Source organism: Homo sapiens, chromosome 8, assembly GCF_000001405.40.
Source record: "Homo sapiens chromosome 8, GRCh38.p14 Primary Assembly".
Taxonomy (NCBI): Eukaryota; Metazoa; Chordata; class Mammalia; order Primates; family Hominidae; genus Homo; species Homo sapiens.
In genome coordinates this window covers 27,183,100-27,208,623 of record NC_000008.11, presented here as the reverse complement: position 1 = coordinate 27,208,623, position 25,524 = coordinate 27,183,100, and the positions used below count along the sequence as shown (strand labels likewise).

The 25,524-nt window shown below is 36.8% G+C and overlaps 1 long non-coding RNA gene across 1 annotated transcript in view; it reads right to left on the bottom strand.

Annotated features, from left to right (window-relative positions):
• Window positions 1–25,524, bottom strand: part of LOC105379340 (uncharacterized) — a 39,195-nt gene that overhangs the window by 2,160 nt on the left and 11,511 nt on the right. The window contains exons 3-4 of the long non-coding RNA XR_949607.3: window positions 24,237–24,444; window positions 2,105–2,169 (exon numbers count right to left, since the gene is read on the bottom strand). This is a non-coding gene — a long non-coding RNA (uncharacterized LOC105379340). The remainder of the gene's footprint in view (window positions 1–2,104; window positions 2,170–24,236; window positions 24,445–25,524) is intronic.

The window sequence follows — 25,524 nt, the reverse complement described above, 5'->3', positions numbered from 1 at the left end:
GCTGAGAGACAACGCTGGGTAAATACAGTTGTGGCCTTTGTTCATGGAGCAAAGAGACTGGAGGGGAAGACAGAAAAAATACCTGAAAATTAGGCTGGAATAAAAATGATAAGTTCTCTGTAGGGAAGGACATGGCGCTAAGAGGATGTGCACCTGGGAGACCTGACCTAGTCTGGGAGGGTAGGAAAAGCTTCCTCCAAAAAGGCCAGACTGCAGTGGTAGGCTGATGTGTCACATCTGTTCTAACCCTGCTGCTCAACCCTTGTCGTTCTGTGCTGAATACAACACATGGGAGAGGCAGAGCTTAAACCGGCAAAGGACTTTGATATGTCTCCAAAGGGCTGTTGTCGCTGGATAGAAGATCTTTTAGATTTGTGGCATTCCAGGTCAAAGGTTTGGGTGAGTGTTTAAAAAAGAAGACCAAAGAGGTGTTTAGCGAATTGGGGAAGGAAAGGAGGAGATGGGTAGAGAAAAATAGGTGGTGGATTTTTATCTGACGTGGATTAGTCTGGAGATGGGAAAATATTTTCACTTCTTATGCCAGCTTCAATCACTGGAGCTAACTGTAGGCTTTGGGACCCTGTTTTGGGAAGGATTCTGAGACCCCAACTGGACTCATTGCAAAAGAGCCCTGTGATTGATGGGAGCCGTCTGATGTGAGTACAGGAGGAGAAGAAAGTGGTGAAACACCTGCCATGTACTTGACATTTCTAACATGGGCAACTTAGCACTGTTGAAAAAAGATGGGTTTTGAACTTGCATTAAATCTTAGCTCTAAAAATGTGTAGCTGTGTGATATCGTGCAAATTAATATCTCCGAGCTTTACTCTTCTGTAACATGGAAATACTATCTTAATGCATTTTTGCTACATCTCATGCTGATAGAACCAGATTGAAGGCAGGCACTGAGGGTTGACTTGAAGCTCCCTTCCCAAGAAAAGCTGCACAATCTCAACTCAAGAGAGCAGAGGGGATTCTAGAAGTAGCCCATGAATACATCCTGTATTCATTTTCTCTTGCCGCTGTAACTCAGCAGCTTAAATCTCTACCCATTTATCAGCTGTGGTTCTGTGGGTAAGGATTCTAGCCTGGGCTCTGTTGATCTCTCAGGGTCTCATGACATTGAAACCAAGGGGTTGGCTAGGCTAGACTCCTATCTGGAAATTATGGGAAAGGTCTAGTTCCAAGCTCATTCATGTTGGCAGATTCCAGTTCCTCCTGGTCATAGGTCTGAGGTCCTCGGTTCCTTGCAGGCTGTAGCTGGGACCTGCTCTGTGCAGCTGGAGGTCACTAACATTCCTGCTCATGTGCAATCTGCATTTTCAAGCCAGCAAGGACCCATCTAATCCTTATGCTTCAAGTCCTCTGCCTCTCTTTTCTGCTTTAAAGGGCTCCTGTCCTTAAATTAGCTCCACCTGGATAATCTCTGTGGCGCTGCTCTAAGGACATGGCTTATCTCTAATAGCTTTGGGTCAATTGATTTGGGAGTTCAATGACACCTGCAAAATCTCTTCACAGCAGCAGCCAGACTGGTGTTTGGTTGAAGAACCCCATTTCCATAGAATGGGCATCTTGGGGGGCCATCTTTGCGGTTCTGCGCACCACACACCCTAACTTGAAGAGTCAGGGGAGAAAGGTGGTGGCAGGTTCAGGAACACAAGGAAACACATGCTTCTTGAAATTCCTCCTGCCAGTGAGGAGCAATCTAATCTGAAGGCAATGGGAGGAACTGGAGGCTGGGGTCCTGCAGGGCTCTTTCAGGCAGAAAGCCAGAGCAGCTCCCCCTCCACTGCCCTAGGAGAACAGTGGCTCCAGAAACAAAGCCAGGAAAAAAGCCAGGCACAGCCATCTGGGAACCTTGTAGCGAAGTCAAACCAAAGACGAGATTTGATAGGGAAAACTTATGTAAAATATGCAAAAGAGACTGCACAGGGGTAGATTTTGCCTCCTGGGGCTCCTCAAGGATTTTTCTTTTCAGTCACCTCCAGCTGCTGTGTCACTGAATGGTAATGTAGATGATTACCAGCCAGCCCTTTAGCTTATGCTCTGTAATAAGGACTCCACAGAAAATAGAGAGACATAAAATGGGCAGAAAGAGACTTACCAATGCCAGGGTCATGTAGAATTGTCCTTGTTCAAGGACGTGTCAACAGGGAAAATGCAATCAGACTGAAAAGAGACAAAAGCACAAAACAAGGCTTTCATAGCACTAAGTTGCATAGGAATGGTTGGTATTGCTTTGAGACATATTTATTACCATAGAAATATTTTAAATAGCATTTGCTTTGTCTCTATAAAATTCCAGAAGATATGGACCAAAGTAATGATGAAAGATGAGAAAATAGATTTATGTGAAATGGACTGAGAAGAGAAAGAAAAACATAAAATGAGATCCCTATGATATTGGGAAGTATTTCAGGAAAATAAAATGCGTACCAGAATTGAGACATGCATTAGAATTGGTTATATATATAAATATTTTAATTTATAAGTAAGTGAGTAAATAAATAAATAAATAAATAAATAAACTCACCATGAATAAAGTATTCAAGCCAAGGTGGAAAATTCTCTTAGAATCCAGAGGAAAAAGACAAATGAAAACTTTAAAAATGAACAAGACATGAACAAAATGTATGATGTATTAATAAGTACTCTTCTGGTATAGATGCTAGAAACTCATCTATCAAATCAAATGAATTTAAATATTAAAGGGACTTTATGGGGTCACATAACCAGGAGGGCTCAGGGTGCTTTGACTTCAAGGGTATTGCTAGACTGCTGTTTCATAATTGGCCATCTTAAACTATTTTAATGTTTATATTGATCAACTTTTATCACTTGTGGCATGGGGCAAAACATTCATTTTAAAGGGTATGTTTATCTACTTATTTCCTCACTATTCATTGTGTACTAAAGTAGATAAAGTGGATCTCATTAAACAGTCCATGAGAGATATTTATTTTCCAGATCAAATGCATTTCTTTTTTAAAAAATTTAGTTTTATTTTAAGTTCTGGGATACATGTACAGGACGTGCAGATTTGTTATATAGATATAAATGTGTGCCATGGTGACTTGCACCTCTTAACCCATCACCTAGGTATGAAGCCCCACATGCATTAGCTTTATCCTGATGCTCTTCCTCCCCTCTCCCTCAAATCCATTTCTTGAAGACCAAATTTATGCTTCTATTTCTACTTTCTCCTTCCTACTTTTCCGTCTTGGCTTTCTATTACGTACTGAGAATTTTCCACTAGGCTTGGGAATTGTTTTCCATTGAGATAAGCATGGACATTTATTTCTGTGCAAATTCTGTGTAGTCATGCTGTTTCTGAGAATGGGGAGGATCTGTGCAGCAAGGAAGCCTTGGTATTCTGAGTGCCTGGCATTGCCCCTCAAAGTGGTCTGGGAGCTTGCAGGAGAGAGTTATGGCCACCAGGTGGTGCTCTGGCTGTTTTCTTTCTGGGAGCTTGAGCAATAGTTCAGCAAAAACGTATACTTTCACGAGACAGGCTGTTACCATTGGTAATTGGGATAGGGTTGCTATGGTGATGAGAGGGTGTTGGGATGTTTATGGCTTTGGAAGACCCAACGCCTGTGAGCTATCAGATTATATCCTTTGATAACAATGGCTGGCATAGCAAGGTCATGAAAATCCGCCAAGATGGTGCAAACCGCAGTGGTCGCTATTCTTCGCACGTTCTTCTGTGATTTATGAGCTGTAACTGGAGTGTTGAGAGTGACAGAAAGTACTTCTTTTAACATGCTTATCTTACTCCACAGTGGATTTTTGCCATTTTCTGTTCATGTTTTATCTCCACCACCAACATTTCTCAGTGTAGTTTTCATAAAAATGCTCCATGAAGAAAGGTTCCATTGGTCCAACACGTGTGGGAAAGATTGCCTGCTAATGCTCTTGGAGACTGACCATGTACAACAGCATATTAAAATATATGAGAATCCTGTTACATTCCCAAAATTCACATGACAATCAAACCCTTCCAATGAAATAGTCACTAACACATAGGGAATCTATCTTCATTTTATTCCTTTAGGGTTAATAAATATTACATTAAGTACGGGTTCAATTGTAATTTAATATGTTCATGTAGGTCTCCCCAACAAGGTGTTGAGTTCTTTTTTTTTGTTTCCAGAGTCTTGCTTGTCACCCAGGCTGGAGTGCAGTGGCAAGATCTCAGCTCACCGCAACCTCCGCCTCCTGGGTTCAAGAAATTCTCCTGCTTCAGCCTCCTGAGTAGCTGAGATTACAGGCACCCACTACCATCCCCGGCTAATTTTTGTATTTTTAGTAGAGACGAGGCTTCGCCATGTTGGCCAGGCTGGTCTTGAACTCCTGATCTCAGGTGATCCACCTGCCTCGGCCTCCCAAAGTGCTGGGATTACAGGTGTGAGCCATGGGGCCCAGCCGAGTTCTTTTTCTTTGGCACTAATCAACAAAGGCTTAGTGCATAACAGAGGCTCAATAAATATTAATTGTTGTTTTGGGGCATCTAAGAAATATTTTCCAATTGAATTATCTATTCATGAATGCCACTGATTACAATTATTCCTATAAATGATCTTTAATGATAAATTTTATTGGATGAATGAATCCAGCATCCAAGACATGGCTAACAACATTAGCAATAAGTCATTAGTACCTTAGCTCGGGATTATTACCATATTCTCAAAAGACTGAAACGCTTTCACTTCTCTACTCTCCATTAATTTTCTACTTCATCACATTTTCCCTGAAGTGTTCAGATCAATATGTTGCTAGCTATTTTTCAGAAAAACACGTTTCTTCTTGTGAATAATCAATTTATGATTGATGATAAAATGTAACCCATAAAAATCCCATGAAAATGCAAGAACACTGAGTGTTTGCTTATATATATCTTGTCTCCCCAAGTAGTCATCCTCAGTAATGGGTTATTGTGTGTATGTCACCATGTCTCCTGCATTTTTTGGGAAAGTGTCATGTATGTCTGAATCTCCTCCTGATGGCCAAAGAAGAACAATAGAATGGCACCCGAGGGTGGTGCTCTTTGTCAAAGCCTGTGACAGGGCACTAGATCGAAGGTATCTGACTCCTTTCCTCAGGGTAACATTATGCTATTTCCACTGATGGGCATCCTCAAATATGGCAGCCTCTGTTTGATTTTGGATTTAAACAGATCTAGGCTCAAACATGTTTCCTACAACTTACAAGTTGCACGAGATGAGGGAAGATATGTCTAAGTCTTCATTTTCTCATTTCTAAAATGGGGATGATAAAACTCACCGAATGGGGTACTTTGAGAGTCAAGTGTAATAATGTATGTAATAAAACAGCAAAGTGCCTGATACGCAGCTAGGTTCTCAATAAATGTTACTTCTCCATTTACCTACTTTTTCCATTGCTTGCCTTTCTCCCAATGTCACTGCAACAGACAACAGCGGAATTCTGGGGTGCAGGGTGGGGAGAAAATAACAGGGAAAGACACCAACATCTGGAGTGGGATTTAAACAACTTCACTTTTAAATTTCTACTCTTTCCAAGCGCCACTTGATGAATCTGGAGCTGACAAATCCTCCCACCTTTCCCTCTCTGCTTTATATTCTTTTATTTCCAGCACACACAAGTATTGGTATTTTAGGCTCACAAACTATATAAATCTAGCAAAGGTGTTTTGGCTGGCAGTGCTCTTAGGGTCATAGGTAGAAGCTTACTTCATTGTAAAATAGAAGCTTTCACAATTTTACCTTGTTGTTCATGCTCAATGGCCACTTTTTGTTAGGTGACTAAGGTTCACGTTCACCTGTTTTTCTGAGCTCACTTCTCTTGTCCGATTCCTTAGCATCCATTGGCTCAGCTACCATCTTGTCTTCCTCCTATAACATGAGCTTTTTCCTTGGTGCTTATCTATCCATATTTTTTTAAACTCTCCAGTTGATGCTAAATTGACAGATTACTTTTGATCAAGCCTACAAGTTATTTTATCCAAAGGTGGACAATTGACTTCTACTCAGGATATTTTAGATACAAATTAATATTTGTCCTAGATTTCATTGGTAATCAATGAATTATTCCTTTTCAAACCTAGTAGATCAACTTAATGACTTTAATTATCAGCCTAAATAAGAATCAATGATCCACACATTTAGCTATTCCAATAGATTATTTGACTGCAGGGAGGGTTGCATAATGATAATTTTTTTTCAAAATCATTAATTCTTAGTTTTACAATACACAATCTTAAAGGCATATATTTTGGCTTTTATACTAATAATCCCCATTATAAATCAGGCAGACGTATATCTGAGATCTTTTTCAGTTAGCTGTTTCAACTTCACCGATTTATTGCAGTTTGAAAGAATTTGTGGATAAAGATTATAAAGAAGTTTCATGTATACAGATTGACAGTATTCAGTTGAGAGTTACCTTAAATATTTCTTTGTGAAATTTAGGCCTATTTTATTTCATTTCCCAGTTGGGTGGGTTATGGGAACCATATCTCATTTAGTAACATGGCGTCCAGCCAATGTTGCTGCATTTGTAGGGAATAGTAATTGAATGAACCATGTGTCCATCTGTTACATGTTCAAGCTCACTTTTACTTTCCAGTCTAAGACTGTGGACCTTCTGATTCCTTTGGTCCCTGGGGAGGAAAAGGCCTTTCTTTCCATATGTAGCTTATTACTTCATTGTGCTTCAAAACAGTGACGGATTCCCAAACTCAGTGGTACTTGGGGTCTGCTGACTGATTCTGAGAGCACATCTCTGATCCCTGGCTGCACAGTGCCCATTCAGTTACTATCAGTTGTGGCTTCTCTTCACTCTTCTTCCCCTAAAATCTCCCCAGGTCCTCCAAATTTCTAATATCTTTCATGTTCTTCTTCCCAGGGTTTACCAACTAACCATCATTGCTGAATGACCACATACCTTATCAGGGAATAATTTATTCATACATCACCTTCTCGTCATTACCCGAGCTTTGAACAAACATTACCTTGGCATCAACAAAATTATCTTCTTTGTCTGAGACACAGTTGCTCCCGCTATAATGTGGTGATAATAGAAAATACTTCTTTTTAAGATTGTAATGAGCATTAATCACATAACCTATGCAAAGTTCCTAGCACATTTTGGGAAGGATTATGGGCATTCCAGGAAGTTAGTTTCCTGTTCCATCCTTATTTTCTTCCTTCCTCTTTCCATTATTTGCTTTCTCCCTCCTTCCCTTTCTGTCTCTCTTTTTTCTTCCCTTCCTTCTTTCTTTTGTTTTTCTCCCTTTGAACTATACATGAATATTTTTGGTATCTCTGAAGACTATGCTTCTCTTGTTCCTCTTTCCATTCACTCCGAAGAAGAGAAAGAGGAGAAGGGAAGAAGTTACACAAAGATTGTCTTTTATCAGGAAAAGTCCAATAAAATGATTGCCTTAAGTCGCATTAGGGGGAGCTCCAGGCTTTCTCCTGGGTTCCACCCTCCCTTTCGTTCCGGGAGCTGTGCGCTTGCATCAGGCACCCAGGGACATATTTAGGACTTTGGGTTAGGAGTTGGTGCTCTCAAGGGAGAAAACCAAGAAATCAAAAGTTCCTTCCACTTGAGATTGCCTCCTTGTTTTTCTTGAGTCAATTCCCCTTTTTGGACTGTTTCTCTTTGTAATTCTTTTCTAATTTGGCTGATGTAGGATGGCGTGGTACTTTCTCCTACGTTCAAGAAGGCAGCACTCCATGGTGCCCTCCATCTCTCAGAAGACAAAGTGGTAACCAAGTTGGGGCCCAGAGAAAAGGGTCTTGAGGCAGACAATTTAAGCCTGTCTATAAACTGGATGAAAAAGAATTCTCCCAGTAAAAGTATCCCAAGTTATCTCAGCAGAGTGTAGAAATACAAAAAGTAGTTTAGCCAAAGTCCCAACATGGATTATACTGTTCCTTTTAATCAAATATCCCCAAGAAAAAGAATATATATATATACACACACATATATATATACACATATATATACACATATATATACACATATATATACACACATATATATGCACATATATATACACACATATATATGCACATATATATACACACATATATATATATGCCTTAGGGTGCTAGTGGGTGAATATAGTTATGAAGGATGCTGATTCAGAGCTGGGTTCAGGGTTCTCTTCTGCCGGATACAAGAGAAACTCTTACTTGAGAAAAGACTTTAGCAGATTGAAAGGCCTGTTATGAAAATAGAAGGCTGATCATTTGGAAGAAGTATCACATAGGTGACTGAAGCTGTGAAAATAACTGCAAATCATGTGCACAAAGTCCCAAATGAGCAAACATGGCTCATGCATTAAGGGAGTTACTCAAGCTGTTATCTGATACTGGTGGGAAAAAGATACATTTAATTCTCTTACTCAACTGGTCTCTAGCTGTGGGAATGTGTTGGGAAACTTTGGAACTGGTGGATATGCTGGGATTGTGTGATGGTAATGAAGATTACAATGTGAGTAATACTTATGATGATAAGATATATGGAAATGGATGAAGAGGAAGGATAGGAGATAAAAATAAAACATATCATATAAAGAAAATAAGATTATTGATATAACAAATTATTTTAATAAAACATGTTTAAAATACAGGGGAAAAGTGAGGCTACATAACAATCAAGAGGTTAGTGTTTAAGAGGAAAAATGTGATTGCCATTGTCATAAAGGCTATGTGCTGAGAAAGATACCAGAGACAGAACCTATGGGACCGCTAAAACTCTTGGCTATATATACCTCAAGAGATGGGAGGTCAAGGTGGGAGGATCATTTAAGGCCAGGAGTTCAAGACCAGCCTGGGCAACATAGTGGGACTCCAAGTCTACAAAAAAATAAAAATAAAAAAACTTAAGCCAGGTGTCGTGGCATGTACCTTTCGTCTCAGCTATTTGGGAAGGTGAGGTGAGAGGATTGCTTCTACCCAGGAGTTCGGGGCTGCAGTGAGATTTGTTTGTGCCACTGCAATCCAGCCTGGGTGCCAGAGCAAGAACCTCTCTCTCTCAAAAAAAAAAAAAAAAAAAAAAAAGAAAAAAAGAGAACTCAGAAGGAAATATATAGATAAAAGTAATTTTAGGAGAGTTACGTCATGGCAGGAACTAAGCAGTTATACCTAGTAAGAACAAGGGGAGATTAATATCATGGTGAGTGAGATAGGAAACTTCAAAACCAGGATAAACCTTCCCAGTAAAAACAATTAGAATGGCTGCACTATACTATATACATGAAGGCATGGGTGGTGAGCTGACTGCATAGTGAGGACTTCTGCTTTTAGCCAGATTGGAGAAACTAATATCAGATTTATCCTCCTGCCTTGAAACAACTAAAAAATTGGACCTATATAAAACAGGACAGCAGGCAGCACAAGATAACGGTGCCTGAGAAAGGAGAAAAAGATGATCCCAACGATGTCCCTAGTCTTTTTATTACAGTGTTTTCAGGTTGCAGTGAAGAGAGGAAAAACTCAGTCAATGCCTAGAGGTCTCTCCAGGTTGATGAAAGAGCTCGGGGTGTGAAGATGCCAAGGCAGAGTTTGCCTGACAAAGTACTGAAGAAGAGAGACAGATGTGAATGGAGAGATACGGAGATCTTCAGAAGGTCCCTTTTGTATCTACAGCTGAATACTGATCTGCTCATGCAAGTGAGTAAATTGCCCAATACCAGGAAAAGATCTACACAAAGGAAATACAGGGACCAATCCCTGGCACTCTGAAAGGGCTGAAAGTAATTTGTGTTCCCATGAGCCAGAATGGAAACCCAAGCAATTCATAGGGTATGCCATATAACATACAGGAAGGTATTGGCTCAACAGTGGGGCAAAATTAGCCCTGGAAAAAAGGTCACTCTCGTCCTATATAACAACACGTAAAGTCTTGAAAAGATCAATCTATTACCAAGTTACTTGACTGTGTCCCAAAATAAAGGTAAGAATATTTATAGGAATACAAAAATATCCAGCAAAGGCCAGGTGCAGCGGCTCATGCCTGTAATCCCAGCATTTTGGGAGGCTGAGGCAGGTGGATCACATGAGGTCAGGAGTTCAAGACCAGCCTGGACAAAGTGGTGAAACCCCATCTCTACTAAAAATACAAAAAAATTACCCGGCGTGGTGATGTGTGCCTGGAATCCCAGCTACTCAGGGGGCTGAGGCAAGAGAATCACTTGAACCTGGGAGACGGAGGTTGTGGTGAGCTAAGATCATGCCATTGCACTCCAGCCTGGTGACAAGAGTGAAACTCCTTCTCAAAAAAAAAAAAAAAAAAAAAAAAAAAAAAAAAAAAAAAAATCCAGCGCATGCTACATGACAAAATTCACAATGGCTAACATCTATTAAAAAATCACTAGGCATGCAAAAGAGTGGAAGGAAAAAATCAATCAATAGAAGAGACTCAGAAATGCTAGCAATGATAGAATTAGTAGATAAGTATATTAAAACAGTTATTAAAACCTATACATATATTGAAACCTACATGTTCAAAAAGGTAAGGAGAACTCGAACATGTTAAGTAGAGACATGGGAGATATATTTTTAAAAAAGACACAAATGTCTATACATGAAAAATCCAATGTCCAAGATAAAAAAGTACAATACCTGTTATAAAAAATTCAGGAGATGGAATTAAACACTGCTGAAGAAAAGATTAGAGAACTTAAAGTCATGGAAATCAAAACTAAAATAAAACACATGAAGGAACATTTTTTGAAAAACAAACAAACAAATGTTAGTAAGTTGTGGAATAGCTTTAAGCACCCTAATGTACAGGTAATAGGAGTCCCTGAAGGAGGAAGTTGGGGAGAAATACACTTTAAGAAATACTGCCTGAAAAAATTCCAAATTTGATGAAAGCTATAAACACTCAGATTGCAAAGCTCAGATAATCTCAAACACAAGAATCAACTCCCTTAAGACCAGTGATCAAGAGAGTCTTAAAAGCAGCCAAACTTTCAAGGGAAAAAAAGCCAAGCAGTACGGGATTGCAACAGCTATTGTAGCCTGGCTGGCAGTCTCCTGTCTTTGTAACCAGTTTAGCTATTTTTGTACCTCACTTTTGTTTTCTGTCCCTAAATACTGCCTGATAACATTGTAGATTAGAGATTTTTGAACCTGTTCTGGTTCTGAGGCTGTTCAAATGATGAATTTTTCTTTTCTCTTTTCCTTACTGAAATAAGTTCTACTAAATATAACTTGTCTAAGGGTTTTTCCTTCTAATAGTAACCACGGGAACCAAACTAAAAGTTGATTAAATTTAATATAATTATGGGCCAGTGACATTTCTTTTATGTTTATAATCTATTTACATTTTTAAGAAATCTAACAGTTTAAAGAAAATGATGTTTTTATTTAAAAAACAATGGTAAGATAATTTAAAAAAATTTTTTTTTGAGACAGAGTCTCTCTCTGTTGCCCAGGCTGGAGTGCAGTGGAGTGATCTTGGCTCACTGTAACCTCTGCCTCCCGAGTTCATGCGATCCTCCTGCCTCAGCCTCCTGAGTAGCTGGGACTACAGGCATGTATCACCATGCCTGGCTAATTCTTGTATTGTTAGTAGAGACACGGGTTTCCCTATGTTGGCCAGGCTGGTCTTAAACTCCTGACCTCAAGTGATCCACCCACCTTGGCCTCCCAAAGTGTTCAGTTTACAGACGTGAGCCACTGCGAATGGCCGAGAAATATTTTTAAAAAGACATGTTCTCACTCATAGGTGGGAATTGAACAATGAGAACGCCTGGACACAGGGCGGGGAACATCACACACTGGGGCCTGTCAGTGGTTAGAGGGCTGGGGGAGGGACAGCATTAGGAGAAATACCTAATATAAATGATGAGTTGATGGGTGCAGCAAACCAACATGGCACATGTATACCTATGTATCAAACCCGCACCTTGTGCATATGTATCCTAGAACTTTAAGTATATATATATACTTTATATACACATACACACATATATAGTATATATAAAGTATATATATATACACACATTCACACATATATAGTATATATATAAAGTATATATATATATAAATTCTGTCAACGTTTGTATGTCTCTCTCTATATATATAGACATACAAAGGTTGACAGAATTTACCACTAGCAGACCATTACTACAAGAAATGTTGAAGTAAATTCTTCAGGGAAAGGAAAAATGATACTAGATGGGAATCTGGGTTTACACAGAAAATTAAAAGCATCAGAAATGATAAGTATGTAGGTAAATATAAGACTTTAAAATAATATCTTAAATCTCTTTAAGTCTTTAAAATACAATTGACTGTTTAAAGCCAAATGATTTTTGAGTTTATACCATGTATATTATGGGGTTTATACTATGTGTAGAAGTAAAATGTATGAGAATAATGACATGAAGCCTGGGATGGGGAAAGTGGAGATATACTGTTGTAAGATTCTTATACTATGAATAAAGCCCATCTTTACTTGAAAGTAGAGAGTGATAAATTAACAGCACATGTTATAAACCTTAACACAACCACTAAACTAATAAAAGATACATCTATGTGTGTTTATGTGTCTCTCTCTATATAAAACCACTATACACACATACAATACACTTGATGTATATATACTTTGTATAGCTATATATTATATACGATGTATACTTCATATATCTACATTATATTTAATGTATATTTTGTATATATACATTATATATAATGTATACTTTGTATATATACTATATATAATGTATAGTTTATATATAATTCAATGAAGTATATAAAATGGAATCATGAAAATATTCAATTTGTATGAAAGAAAGCAAAAACAAGAAAAAAAAGAGCAGATAGAACATGTAGAAAACAAATGGCAAGATATGGGCTTATATCTAACCACATAAATAGTCATATTAATGTAAATAGTCTAAACACCTCCAATTAAAAATTAGAGATCGTCAGATTGCATAAAAAAGCAGGACACAATGATATGCTATTGACAAGAAACCCACTTTAAATATAAATATGCAAATAAGGTAAAGGAAAAAGGATGGATAAATATATACCATGACAACAATGATTAAATAAAAGCTATATTAATATCAGAATACGTAGATTTTAGAGAAAAGACTAATGAAGAAAGTCATTTCATAATGATAAGGAGATAAAATTACCAAGAAAACATAGCAATTCTAAATGCTTAGGTATACTTAATAACATAGCTTTAAAGTATATAAAGCAGAAACTGAAAGAACTGCACGGAGAAATAAACAAATCTGCAATTTGTCAGAGACTTCAATATCCCATCTCAATAAATGATAGAAAAGTAAAGAGAAAATCAGGAAGAATATAGAAGATATAAACAACCCTATTAACAAAGCAGTGAAAAACGGTGAAGCCAACCAAAATCTGGAATAAGAAGGAAATCTAGAGGTGAACTCCCGTGGACTCTTTTCTGTTAGGGGAATCTATCAATTCAAGAAGAAATGGCTGAGTGTCTAAGAATTTGACCAGAGTTTTTGACAGCATCCTGTGCCTGTGGGTACAAAACTTACAGTTCAATATGTACTAAATATGGAAGCCCCAAGAAACACGCTGGATTGAAACTTCAAGAAGCTATACCTTAGAAACAATGCTAAATAAGAAATGGATCAGGATTAACAGCTTCACATCATTTTATTTGTGAAATTATCTTTAATCCAGAATTGCTGGTATTCCTGGCTGTTTGCAAAAAGCAAAGGTAAATAATTTATAGAGGAATATATCAACATCCAGAACTTTAAATGTCTAGTAAACAATAAACAACTAGGCTTGGGAGGAGACAAGACAATACAGTAAGTACCAGAATTTAAAAACAGATAACAGAAACAGATCCATGGCTCTAGATAATGGAGTTATCAGAGGCAGAAAATCTTTATTATATTTAAGGAGATTTATAAAAAATATTTTTATATCCTCAGAGAACTAAACATTATGCAAAATGAACAAAAATTCTATATGTATAAAAACGATATTAAGAACTCAATGGCTTGTAACTATATAGTTACAAGACTATATACATATAGTTACAAGACTATATATAGGTACAAGACTATATATATAGGTACAAGACTATATATATAGGTACAAGACTATATATATAGTTAAAGACGGTATATATATAAAGACTGTATATATATAAAGACTATATATATAGTTAAAAACTATATATAGTTAAAGACTATATATATAGTTAAAGACTATATATATATAGTTAAAGACTATATATATAGTTAAAGACTATATATATATAGTTAAAGACTATATATATAGTTAAAGACTATATATATAGTTAAAGACTATATATATAGTTAAAGGCTATATATATATAGTTAAAGACTATATATATAGTTAAAGACTATATATATATAGTTAAAGACTATATATATATAGTTAATGACTATATATATAGTTAAAGACTATATATAATAAAGAAAGAATTAGTAAACTGGAAGGCAGATCTGAAAAAATAGCAAGACTGAAAAACAGAGAGAAAAAAGGATAGAAAACAGAGAAGAGAGTGTAAGAGACATAGGGAGTGCATATATGCACTTTGGACTCTCAGAAGGAAAGTATAGAAAGAATGAGTTATAAACATATTTGAAGAGACCAAGACTGAACAACTTTGCCAAGTAGGAAAAATGTATCAATCAATTGATAAATATCAGTTGGTTGATTCAAGAATTAAGTTGCGGCTGGGCGCGGTGGCTCACGCCTGTAATCCCAGCACTTTGGGAGGCCGAGGCAGACAGATCACGAGGTCAGGAGATCGAGACCATCCTGGCTAACACAGTGAAACCCCGTCTCTACTAAAAATACAAAAAATTAGCTGGGCGTGGTGGGCGCCTGTAGTTCCAGCTACTCGGGAGGCTGAGGCAGGAGAATGGCGTGAACCTGGGAGGCGGAGCTTGCAGTGAGCCGAGATCGCGCCACTGCACTCCAGCCTGGGCGACAGAGTGAGACTGTCTCAAAAAAAAAAAAAAAAAAAAAAAAAAAAAAAGAATTAAGTTGCAAGCCATGTAGACATACACAAAAAAGCACACTTAGGCACATCATGGGAAAACCAGTGAAAACTAGACAGATGAAATAGTTATCTTCCCAACAAATGAAAGATGTTGGAAGATAAAAAAAAAATAATGCTTTCAGATGCTGAGTATAGCAGCAGCTCAATTTTCATACCTTCCAGAAAATGAAGATGAATGAAGAAATTTCCAGAGAAAAACCAAAAACTGCCAGATGAGAACAACATTTGAGGAGAGAGCAATGATAGGGAGCTGTAAGGAGAACCCTTTCCAGAGCTCACACAGAGCTGAGAATCATCCAAGTTTACCAAGCCAGAGTGGACAGAACACACCGAATACACAGAGCATTTGGTAGGGACGTCAGAAGGGTCATGTTAGTTTTTTATCTCCATTTGAATTTCTGCTACAGGCACCTCAAAATTAATTGTCACAAATTAAATAACCAATTCCCACTCTACCTTTCTAAAATTCGTCTTTCCCATCTCAGTGAGTAAAAAGAAACATCCGCTTGTGGCTTGTCAGAAATCTGGTTGAATTCCTGATTCCTCATGCTCTCACCAACTTCATCAGCAAGTTCTATTGTTTGTTCCTCCCAGATGTATGCATTTAAGACCTTCAGTTTTCTCTATTTCCACTGCCAACCTCCTCATCTCTCATATCTCCCATCTTGATTATCATTTCTCAGCTGGGCTACCATTAATTGGTGTTTTCCTAGCCAACTTCCAATTCCTTCTCCACATAGTAGCCATAGGAACCTTTCATACACCTTAAATCATACTGAGCCATTCTCCTGAGCTTAAATTCTCTAGTAGTTTTCTATGGAATATGGAAGAAAATTTTATTCTTTGCCATAGTCTTGTCTCTGCAAACTTCACTCACCATAGCTTTATGCCTCCCCCTCACTACTTACCATTCATGACAGCTGATTTTAGATTTCTTAAACATGTTGGTAAGTTTTCTGCTGCACAAGTTTTGCTCATGCTATTCTGTTAACTTGTATCCAGAAGTGATATTCAAACATTTCAGTATGGCAGAGGCCCTCCAATTTGGCATGAACTTCAGCCAATCATGATGGACATCTGGCAGCACAAGGAAAGGACTAGGCATGCATTGGCCAACAGCAGCCCAGCCTGCATGCCCTCATCACAGATTATATTCTTTCTCACCCTTTGGGTCCCAGCTGAGATGCTACCTCCTCAGAGAGGCAAGCCTTCTTTTTCTGTTTAAATAAATCTCTTTTTTTCTATTTTGCTCCATCACTGTAGTAGCTATGTTGGCATTTATCACAATGTTTAAGAATTTGTTCGTTCATTTGATATCTCCTTCAATAGAGTATACACTCTGCAAAAGAGAAACCCCATCGGCTTTCTTTCACAATGTCTACTTAGTGCCTAGTGTAGTGTCCAGGAGAAAGTAAGTGCTCAGTAGATATTTATTGAATGAATAAGCGAGTGAATGGCCAGGACAGGCTCACTCAAGGTGCAAACGTAACTGTGCATCTGGAGTAGATCATCATAGGAGAAGGATGTAGGATGAGGTGTGGTTGATCCTTTTCTAACTTGGTGGTGGAGTCACCCCTAAACACACAGAATTTTGAACTGGAGAACTTTGATTTTAAGGGGTTGATACTTTCTCTAAATTATCATGCAGATTTAAGGGACTGATATGATACTCCGGGGAAATCAAGTCATGTTCTACTGTAGCTGGATTAAAGGGTCTTAGAGGATATTTGTGCTGTAATAAGTGCAGGTAAGGTGTCTAAAGCTCTGGGGAGTACTGGAAGGTTGCAACTAGGAACATTTGGCAGAGGAAACACTGTTCTCATGAATCTCAGAAGCATCAACAGTAGCTACACAGGGACAGAGAGAGCCTTGGGGTGGAGAGCTATTTAAAAAATGAGCTTTGAAGAGTGGGAATGTATGCTCACTAATTTCCTTGGAATGCTAACTTTTAAAAGTGTGGATGTCAGAGTCACAGGACAGAATTGTGGACAAACTCATATTCAGTTTACGCTTGGAACACAGCAACCCAAGGAAAACCTAAAGGAAAATCATGAGTTTAAAATATAGGAGTTAGGGATGGAGGTTGCACAAAAATGACCTGGAGACTGGGAGTCCCATTTTTTTTAAAATGTCCCCCTAGGTTTTTGTCCCCTAGGTTTTCCCATGGGACAAAAATGTAAATTCCATATGCTAAGAGAAATCAGTTTGGACAAATGATGGACTTTGCCCCTCTCCCTTCCTGCTTGGATGCTGTTATTGTCACAGATAGTATCTATAGGAAAGACACTTTTCAAGTGAATTAAAAATTTTAACGTAACTTTTACTGGCTTTTTAGAAAAGCAACACATGTTTATTATATGAAATTTGGCAAGTATAGATAAGCAAAAAGAAAAAACTAAAAATAATCCTACCACTTAGGTAAAAACAGTTAGCATTTTATTCGATAGCTTTCCAATCTTTGTTCTATGCATGCGTACCTGTCTTTGCATATATATTCTAAAGTATTTCTAAAATTGAATCATTTGGCGTATACTTTTTGTAATCTGCTTTTTCCATTTGAAATTGTGTCATTAACATTTTTTCATGTTATTAATTTTTCTCTTACAACAGTGTGTTTCAATGGTTGTATTAATATTCATTTGTAAGCACATATCATAACTAATCAAATTAATATTTTTTGACAATGAGTATTTTGACTGTTTCTTTCTCAAAATGTGTGTACTGACTTACAAAAACAGTGAGGGGGTGTTTACCCATGAGGACAAGTTTTTTGCATACATTCATAATTAATCCCCTAGGATACATTCCAAGAATTGTTAGCTCAAAAAGGATATAAAAATCTAAGACTTTTGAAATATACTGCCAAACTACCTCGCATAAAGTTAATCCACTTCACACTTTACACCAACGCTATACCATTTTCTCTACCCTCACCATTCCAGGATAGCATCATCTTTTCAAACATAGATTCCAATAATTGAATTTCATTGGTTTTATTTGTATTTCTTTCATTATTAGTAAGACTAAACACATGAAAAATAATTTTTTGCGTCTATATTTCTTACTTTGTGAATTCGCTGCTAACATCCCTTATTTATTTGCTCTATTGGAATGTTTACCTTTTTCTTATTAATTTACTCTTGCTCTTCATATCAGGAGGTTATTTAACTTTTGAAATAGTTTGGGACATATTTATCCCAATTAGTTATATTTATTTATTTTTGTTTTGTCATTTTCTGATGCACAGATATTTAAAAATTTTATTTAGTTAAATCTAGTATTTTTTTTCCTTTAAGGCCTCTGTTTTTGGTTTAATGTTTGGAAAATTTTCCCCTACCACACAGTTATATAAATATTTATCTGTTGCTTCTTCTGAAACTCTTGGATTTTATTTCCTGCCCTAAGTTTAACTACTCCATCTGGAATTCATTTGGATGTATGGATTGAGGTAAGATTCTGATTTTAAATTATTACAAACCAGTTATTTGTTAGTATTTTTGTGTAATCCTTCTTTTTTCCACATTGAATGTTCTAAATTTCTTTAACACATAATACATCCTTGTGCATATATTACAGTTTTCTGTGATTTTCTTTTCTGTCCCACTAATCTATATTTTCATACCTGTTCCAGTATTATTTTAATAAATATACTTTTATGCTTTAAAATAAAATAGAATAACTCTTCTAAAATAATTTTATTTTGGCTCAAATTTATCATGGCCAACCATGAAGTTAGCAATCCAGAACAAAAGAAAAACTTTAAAAACAATTTTCTAGGTCATTTCCAAATTCTATTGGATATTTTATAGAATTGTGTAATCCAAATTGAGGAGGAGTGAAATTTTGACTCATTGAATATTTTCATGTAGGAGTAGAATGGCATTTTTCTACAATTATTCAAGTCTCCTTTATGTCCCTGAAGTGCTATGTTCTAAATCCAATAGTGTCCAAGCTGAGGCCAGGCTTCCCACAGGTGCTCCCAGCGATGACAGAGCAAAGCAGGGATTCTAAAGCAGTCCAGGTTCTGAGATGCCAGGGGCTCCTCTAGTGGGTACTCTCTTTCCCTTGAGGACTCCCATCAGCCTTGCCCAGACTATCTTATAACTGCATTACAGTCTAAGGCTCATTCTATTCCAGTTTCCTTCCTTCCTTCCTTCCTTCCTTCCTTCCTTCCTTCCTTCCTTCCTTCCTTCCTTCCTTCCTTCCCTCCTTCCTTCCCTTTCTCCTCCACAAGAGTCAACTCTGCCCCTCCACGTGATGACTTTCCTGGACTTTTTCAACACTCTTCCATTAGCCTCTCACAGGTGTTCTCCCTCAATAAATCCCTTGTATATTTAATCCCACCTGCAATGTCACTGGGCTTTTGAAAACCAAGTGAGAAGACAAGTGTCTGTTGATAGAAACCCTTCAGTAAATGTTAACATGTGAAAGCAGTGAGTATTATATTTTATTGTAATGTCTAATTTTTCTATATAGATACATCCACTTTCCCTTTCCTACGTTATATAACTGTGGACTTTTGCTTTTACTTTTTCTCTTGAGTAGACTAGCCAGAAATTTTTCCATGTTATTTTCTTTTTCAAAGAACTAACACTTGTGTATATTTATAAATATATTTATTTCAGCTCATTAATAGAATAATTTTTAAAAATATTAAAAAAATTAAAATTTATCAATATAATCCCACTTTGTTGAAGTTCGTTTTGGGGTTCACTTTCCAATTTCCTCAACTGAATGTTTAGTTCATTTATTTCATTCTTACTGATTTAGGAATGAAAATGTTAAGGCATTCAATTTTCCTACGAGTATATCTTTGATGGAAATTCACCCATTTTGATATGTCAGGTTCTCATGGTTTCATTTTGTAAATAATTGGTAATTGCAGTTTTGATATACTCTTTGATTCAGTAATTATTTGGAAGAGGTTATTTTTACTTCTCCATTGGTTATTAATTTCCATTTTTATTATAATAATTTTACAAACACATCCTGTACAAACTCTCCTTGAAAAACACATTGAAATTATTTTGTGGCCTAATATGTGACAAGTTAATGTAAATGTTCCATGTTTGCTTAAAAATACACATGTATGATTTAAAGTTTGATACATAGTATAGCTATTGAGTCAACCTTAGTTACATTACTTAGCCTCTGTAATCTTCTTAAGTTTTTATTTTTTTGCTATTTTAAATTCCTCCTTACTACTGTTTTCTATAAAATTCTCTTTCTATTTCTAATACAATATAACTTATTCATTCCACCATTGAAGGCTCTTTATTGACCACCCAATATGTGCTAGGAACTCTACTAGTTCTTAGTCTAGTAATAGAATAGATAAATAATCCCTGGGACTTTTCATTCCGCTGGAGGCAAACAGACAATAAATAATATAAATAAGTAAAACAACTTGTATGCTAGGTGCAGATAAGGATTATAAGGAATAATAAGACAGGGAAATAGAACAGGTTGTTGTCAGGGGAAGGGAGTTACAACTTTAAATAGGGCGGTCAGTGAAGACCTCACTGTCAGACAATAGCTGAGCAAAGATCTGAGGAGGTCAAGGTGTCAGGCTGCAGCTCTCTGAGGCTAGAGCAATCCATGCAACAGGAACAGCAAGTGCTAAGGCCCTGAGGCAGGAGCACTCCTGGTGTGTTCACACAAGAAGTAAACCAGTGTGCTTGGAGCAGACGCAGCTAGAAAAAGAGCAGTTGGAGATGAGAGATCCAGCACATAACATTCACAACACGTGTTCATTGTGAATTGTACCTTTTACCAGTTTAAAGTGGCCTTCCTGGCTTATTTCACATTGTTTGCATTAAACTCAACTATGATATTAATGATATAACCTTCATTTTTTAGCTTATCTTGCACAAATGACATTTATATGTTCCATAAGTGTTAAATATTTGATGTCACTATCTTTAAATATACCTCTTAAAAACATGATAGGTACATTTTATTTTTGATAGAATTTAGCTGTTTACTTTTAATTTCCCCCAATGTTTTGTTAATTGGCAGAGGTGAGTAAAATGGTAACTTTTGGGCACCACGCCCCTTCAAAACAAGGAATTAAGTTCAGCTATATTCTCACTTCTCTTCTAAGAACATAAATAAGCATATAAATAAGGGCTTTATATTTAGATGATATTGTGTATGTATATCTGTGCATCTTATAATTATAGTTGTTGTTAGATCAGAAATGGCTTTCACATTTGTCCCACTCTGGGCTCTTATATCTTGATGATGCCTGTAACTGTTTCCAGCGTGGCCCAGACTTGGTGATATACGAAATACACTCCCCTGCTTCTCTCCCCTTTCACTCCTCTGATGCCTCTGTCCTCGGAGATATTCCCCCAACCACTTACTCTAACATATCAAATTCGAATCAGGAGGTATTGGCTCAATTTATCAAATGCTTTATTATGCATTCCTCACATTAGTAGGTTTCCAGAAGTTTCAAAGTCAGACCTATCTGACTTTGTGGTCTAGTTTGAATAGCTATTTCCACTCTCGGGGTATTTGCCTAATCTCACGTTTTAAAACTCACTTGTTATACTAGGTGAATGCTGATCAGGCAGCCCTTGTACAGCCTTGCTGCGATTATTAATTTTCCAAAACTATCTGGTTTACTCATCATTCTACACACGCACCATTCCCTAGTTGTGTAGACAGGAAGGAATATGTATGTATATGTGTATGTGTGTGTGTGTGTGTGTGTATAATATGTATATAATATATACACACACATATACGTATACCTGTTGTACACACACACACACACACACACACACAATACATATATAATATAGGCTTGATAGAAAAAACATCGCCAGGCACAGTGCTCATGCCTGTAATCCCAACACTTTGGGAAGCTGAGGCAGAAGGATTTCTTGAGCCCAAGAGTTTGAGACCAACCTGGGCAACATAGTGAGAACTTGTCTCTACGAAAAGTTAAAAAAATTAGCTGGGCATTGTTGTGTATGTCTGTAGTCCCAGCTCCTAGGGAGGCTAAGGTGGGAGGATCACTTGAGAGCAGAAGTTCAAGGATGCAGTGAGTTATGATCACACCATTGCACTACAGCCCAGGTGACAGAGCAAGACCCTGTCTCAAAAAAAAAAAATTAATATCCATCTACAGAGAAGTATATGGCTACACTCTACAGACAGTTTGAACTTGACAGACCTAAACAACTGTATATTTAAAATGCCGTCTCATGGAGCTTATAATTTAGTTGGGGAAATAAGATATAAAAAATTAAAAAGGTTAGGAGCTACTGGATGAAGTTTAAAACAGTAATAAGGCAGACAACACTAGGCAATGCCTAGCATAAAGAGAATAAAATTTGGCGTGAAAGAGACTTGGATTTGAGTCTTGGCTTTGTTATTAACTGCGTAATCTTAGATTTGTTATTTAATATTTCTAAAATTTAATTTCCTCAAATTATTGCGGTAATAGTAATATTCCCTTACAGAGCTGCTATGAGGATGAAATTTAATGGAGTGGGCATCTTATACTGCTGACATTGCAGTTTTTGACTGTGGTGATGCACTTTGTAAAAGCCTATCTTTTTGCCTTTGTTGGGTAACATAGTGACAAAATTTGAGAATGGAAATAGATTGTAGATGGATTTCTTAGTCTAGGATATAATATGATTTGGGGGTTAATTTAAGTGAAATGGTAATTACAATCTTAAAGGAGCTTCTGGGAAATGAGCAAAAAATGTCAACCGACACTTCACAGAAGAGGAAATGAACATGGTGTTTAACATACGGCCAAAAAATGCTCAGCTTTGTTCATTGGCAAGCTGTGGGAAATGGGCAGTCTCACACATTGCTGACGGGAAGTCAGAATGGTGTAACATTTGCAGAGATGAATTTGGCAGTATCATAGTATCAAAATATCATAGTCACTGATCAGTTGACCCTGTAATTCCAGTTCTAAGGCTCTATCCCAAAAACATTATGGGAAAAGCTATTAAATAGCTAATATTCAAGGTTGTACACTACAACAATTGTGACACCATAAAAATGTAGCGTAAAGGACTTGATGATGGATGGCACATTCATAAAGTGGAAAATTATCCAGTTATAGATGAAACAGGAAAATGCGTGGGGTAGATTTGGAGGTGAAACGTCTCTGAATATACATTTTGTTATGTAATTTTGGCTTCCAAAACCTATAAATGTATTACATACTTAAAAACTATATCTAAAAATGAAAAACAACCTAAAGTAAACACTAACAACTAGTTTTTAAATAAACCACAGATAGAAAAAAATTATTTCTGTCTTAATATTTAAAACAGTATTTTGACTATACATTTTTAGTGAAATACATAGTAAGGAAACATAAAAAAGCAAAATTATATTAAGTTGGATTCCATAGTTTGTTAGGGGTAACATTGGAATTATTATTTTGAATCTCTTTTAAGCATATGATAAGATATTACAAACAAATAATTATATTAGGAATGTTTGAAAGCCAAATTTTCAGTGTAAAAAGGGAAGCGTAAGTGAAAAATTAGAGAATGTAAGTAAAGCTCTATAATACCTGAACAGGAAATATTAGTATGAACCTTTGAAATTTTTATTTCAAAATTACATATTTTCTAGATTTGTCCATTGAAAAGGCTAAAAAGAAATGACAGCCCATAATCGACGGGTACATTCCATTGACTGAGACTGTGATCTTAAATATTATTGCTATTGGAGAACACCAAGAACCCTGGAGAATAACTGAATGCCGTTGTGAGAAAGGAAATATATATTAAGACCCTGGAATGTTCCATTGGGCCTAAAAGTAAGCTAAAAAAGATGCATAGTACATGTTCAAAACACACAGGTGCCAAAAAAGAAGGGGCTCCCATTGGCCAAAGATGAGATATATGAATATTAAAAAGAATAATGAATGCAACTGGTTGAAACATACTTGCTGTATAGAAAGCCAAGAGTTCAAAATGATACTTAAGAAAAAGCTCATTGAACACCACTGGAAGGAACAAAAGTAAAAGCAACTTGTCTCAAAAGCCAGGAACTAAAAGTAAAGAATTAGACATTTATTCCATCTTTTCATATGACCTATATTTCAGAGTTATCACAAAGCCTGATAAGAGTTATCTTATCTAGATGATGAGATAAAGCGTCCATTATTAGAGAAGAGCTCCAGCTAAAGCTGTGAAGGCAATCATGAAATGAAGACTCACCATTTTGCAGCAGTTCATGATCACCAATAGATGAAGCACTAGGTGAAAGGTTGATGGGAAGCTTTATAGCGGGGGAGGAGAGGAGATCAGACTGCCACCTTCTGAATTCATTGATCGGTCATGCATCACTAACCACGGGATGTCTAGAGATTGTATACCTCCTGGTGTGATATGATATGAAGCTCACAGCACTACTGATGAAGGATTCCTGCAAAAAAAAATAATTGAACCTAAATCTAATAAAACGTGCAGGGTTAACTACCATTTACGGGAAACACAAAGAAGATGGAGAAACAAGCAAACACCATAAGGAAACAATTACAGAACATGGAACATTTTATATGCGGTTAACAGTTTCTGCAACATGTCAATGACTGGCACACGAAAAACTAAGAAAGAAAACCTCTAGATTAAAAGAGAATTCAGACATAACCATTAAAGGTAATGAGTGGACCTTGTTTGGATTCTGATTTGAATCAATGAAATGTAATTGACATTTTTGAGACACCTGGGAACATTTTTTATGGACTGGGTATTACAGGAAACAAAGGAATGACTGTTAACTTTATTACATGTGATAATGGCATCTTGGTTACATAAGTAATGTTTTTAGAAATGCCTTTTGAATTATGTACAGTGAAATGACTTGATGTCTGGAATTTGCTTTAAAATACTTCAATGAAGAAGAAGAAAAAAGAAAGTAAAAAAGAAATAACTGAAGCAAATGTGGGCAAAATTTTAATAATTGTTGATCTAGGTAAAGACTATATGGAGGTTCTTTATTTTCTTAACTGCTGTTAAAAGAAAAATTTAGGCACATTAAAATCTCAGTGAATTTATTTGGGCATTCAGTGATTCATGAAACAGGCAACACCAGACCTCAAGTGGTTCAGTGCTCCACTGTAGGAGTGTGAAGGGGGAACTTTTATAGAGTGTTCCTGGAAGAAAGATAAAGGAAATATTTGATTGGCTAAAGTGGAAAATACCTAATTAGAGGTTAGTTGGAGGTTCCTGATTGGTAAAGTCTCCAGTTAGAGGTGAGTTGGCAGTTTCTGATTGGTTAAGCTCAAGTTTCCCTTCACTGTTTACATTGAGTTGGGTTTTGGTGTGCTTATGTGGGAACCCAAGGTGCTGGAGCTGTCTTAGCCTAATGCCCACCCACCCCCCAATTAATCATTTTAACACTTCTAAGTATGTTTGAAAATATGCCTAATACAATTTTAAAACCAAAAGTTACTTTGGAAAATAAAATAGTAAAACAACTTCTGGGGAAAGCATCAAAGAGTCA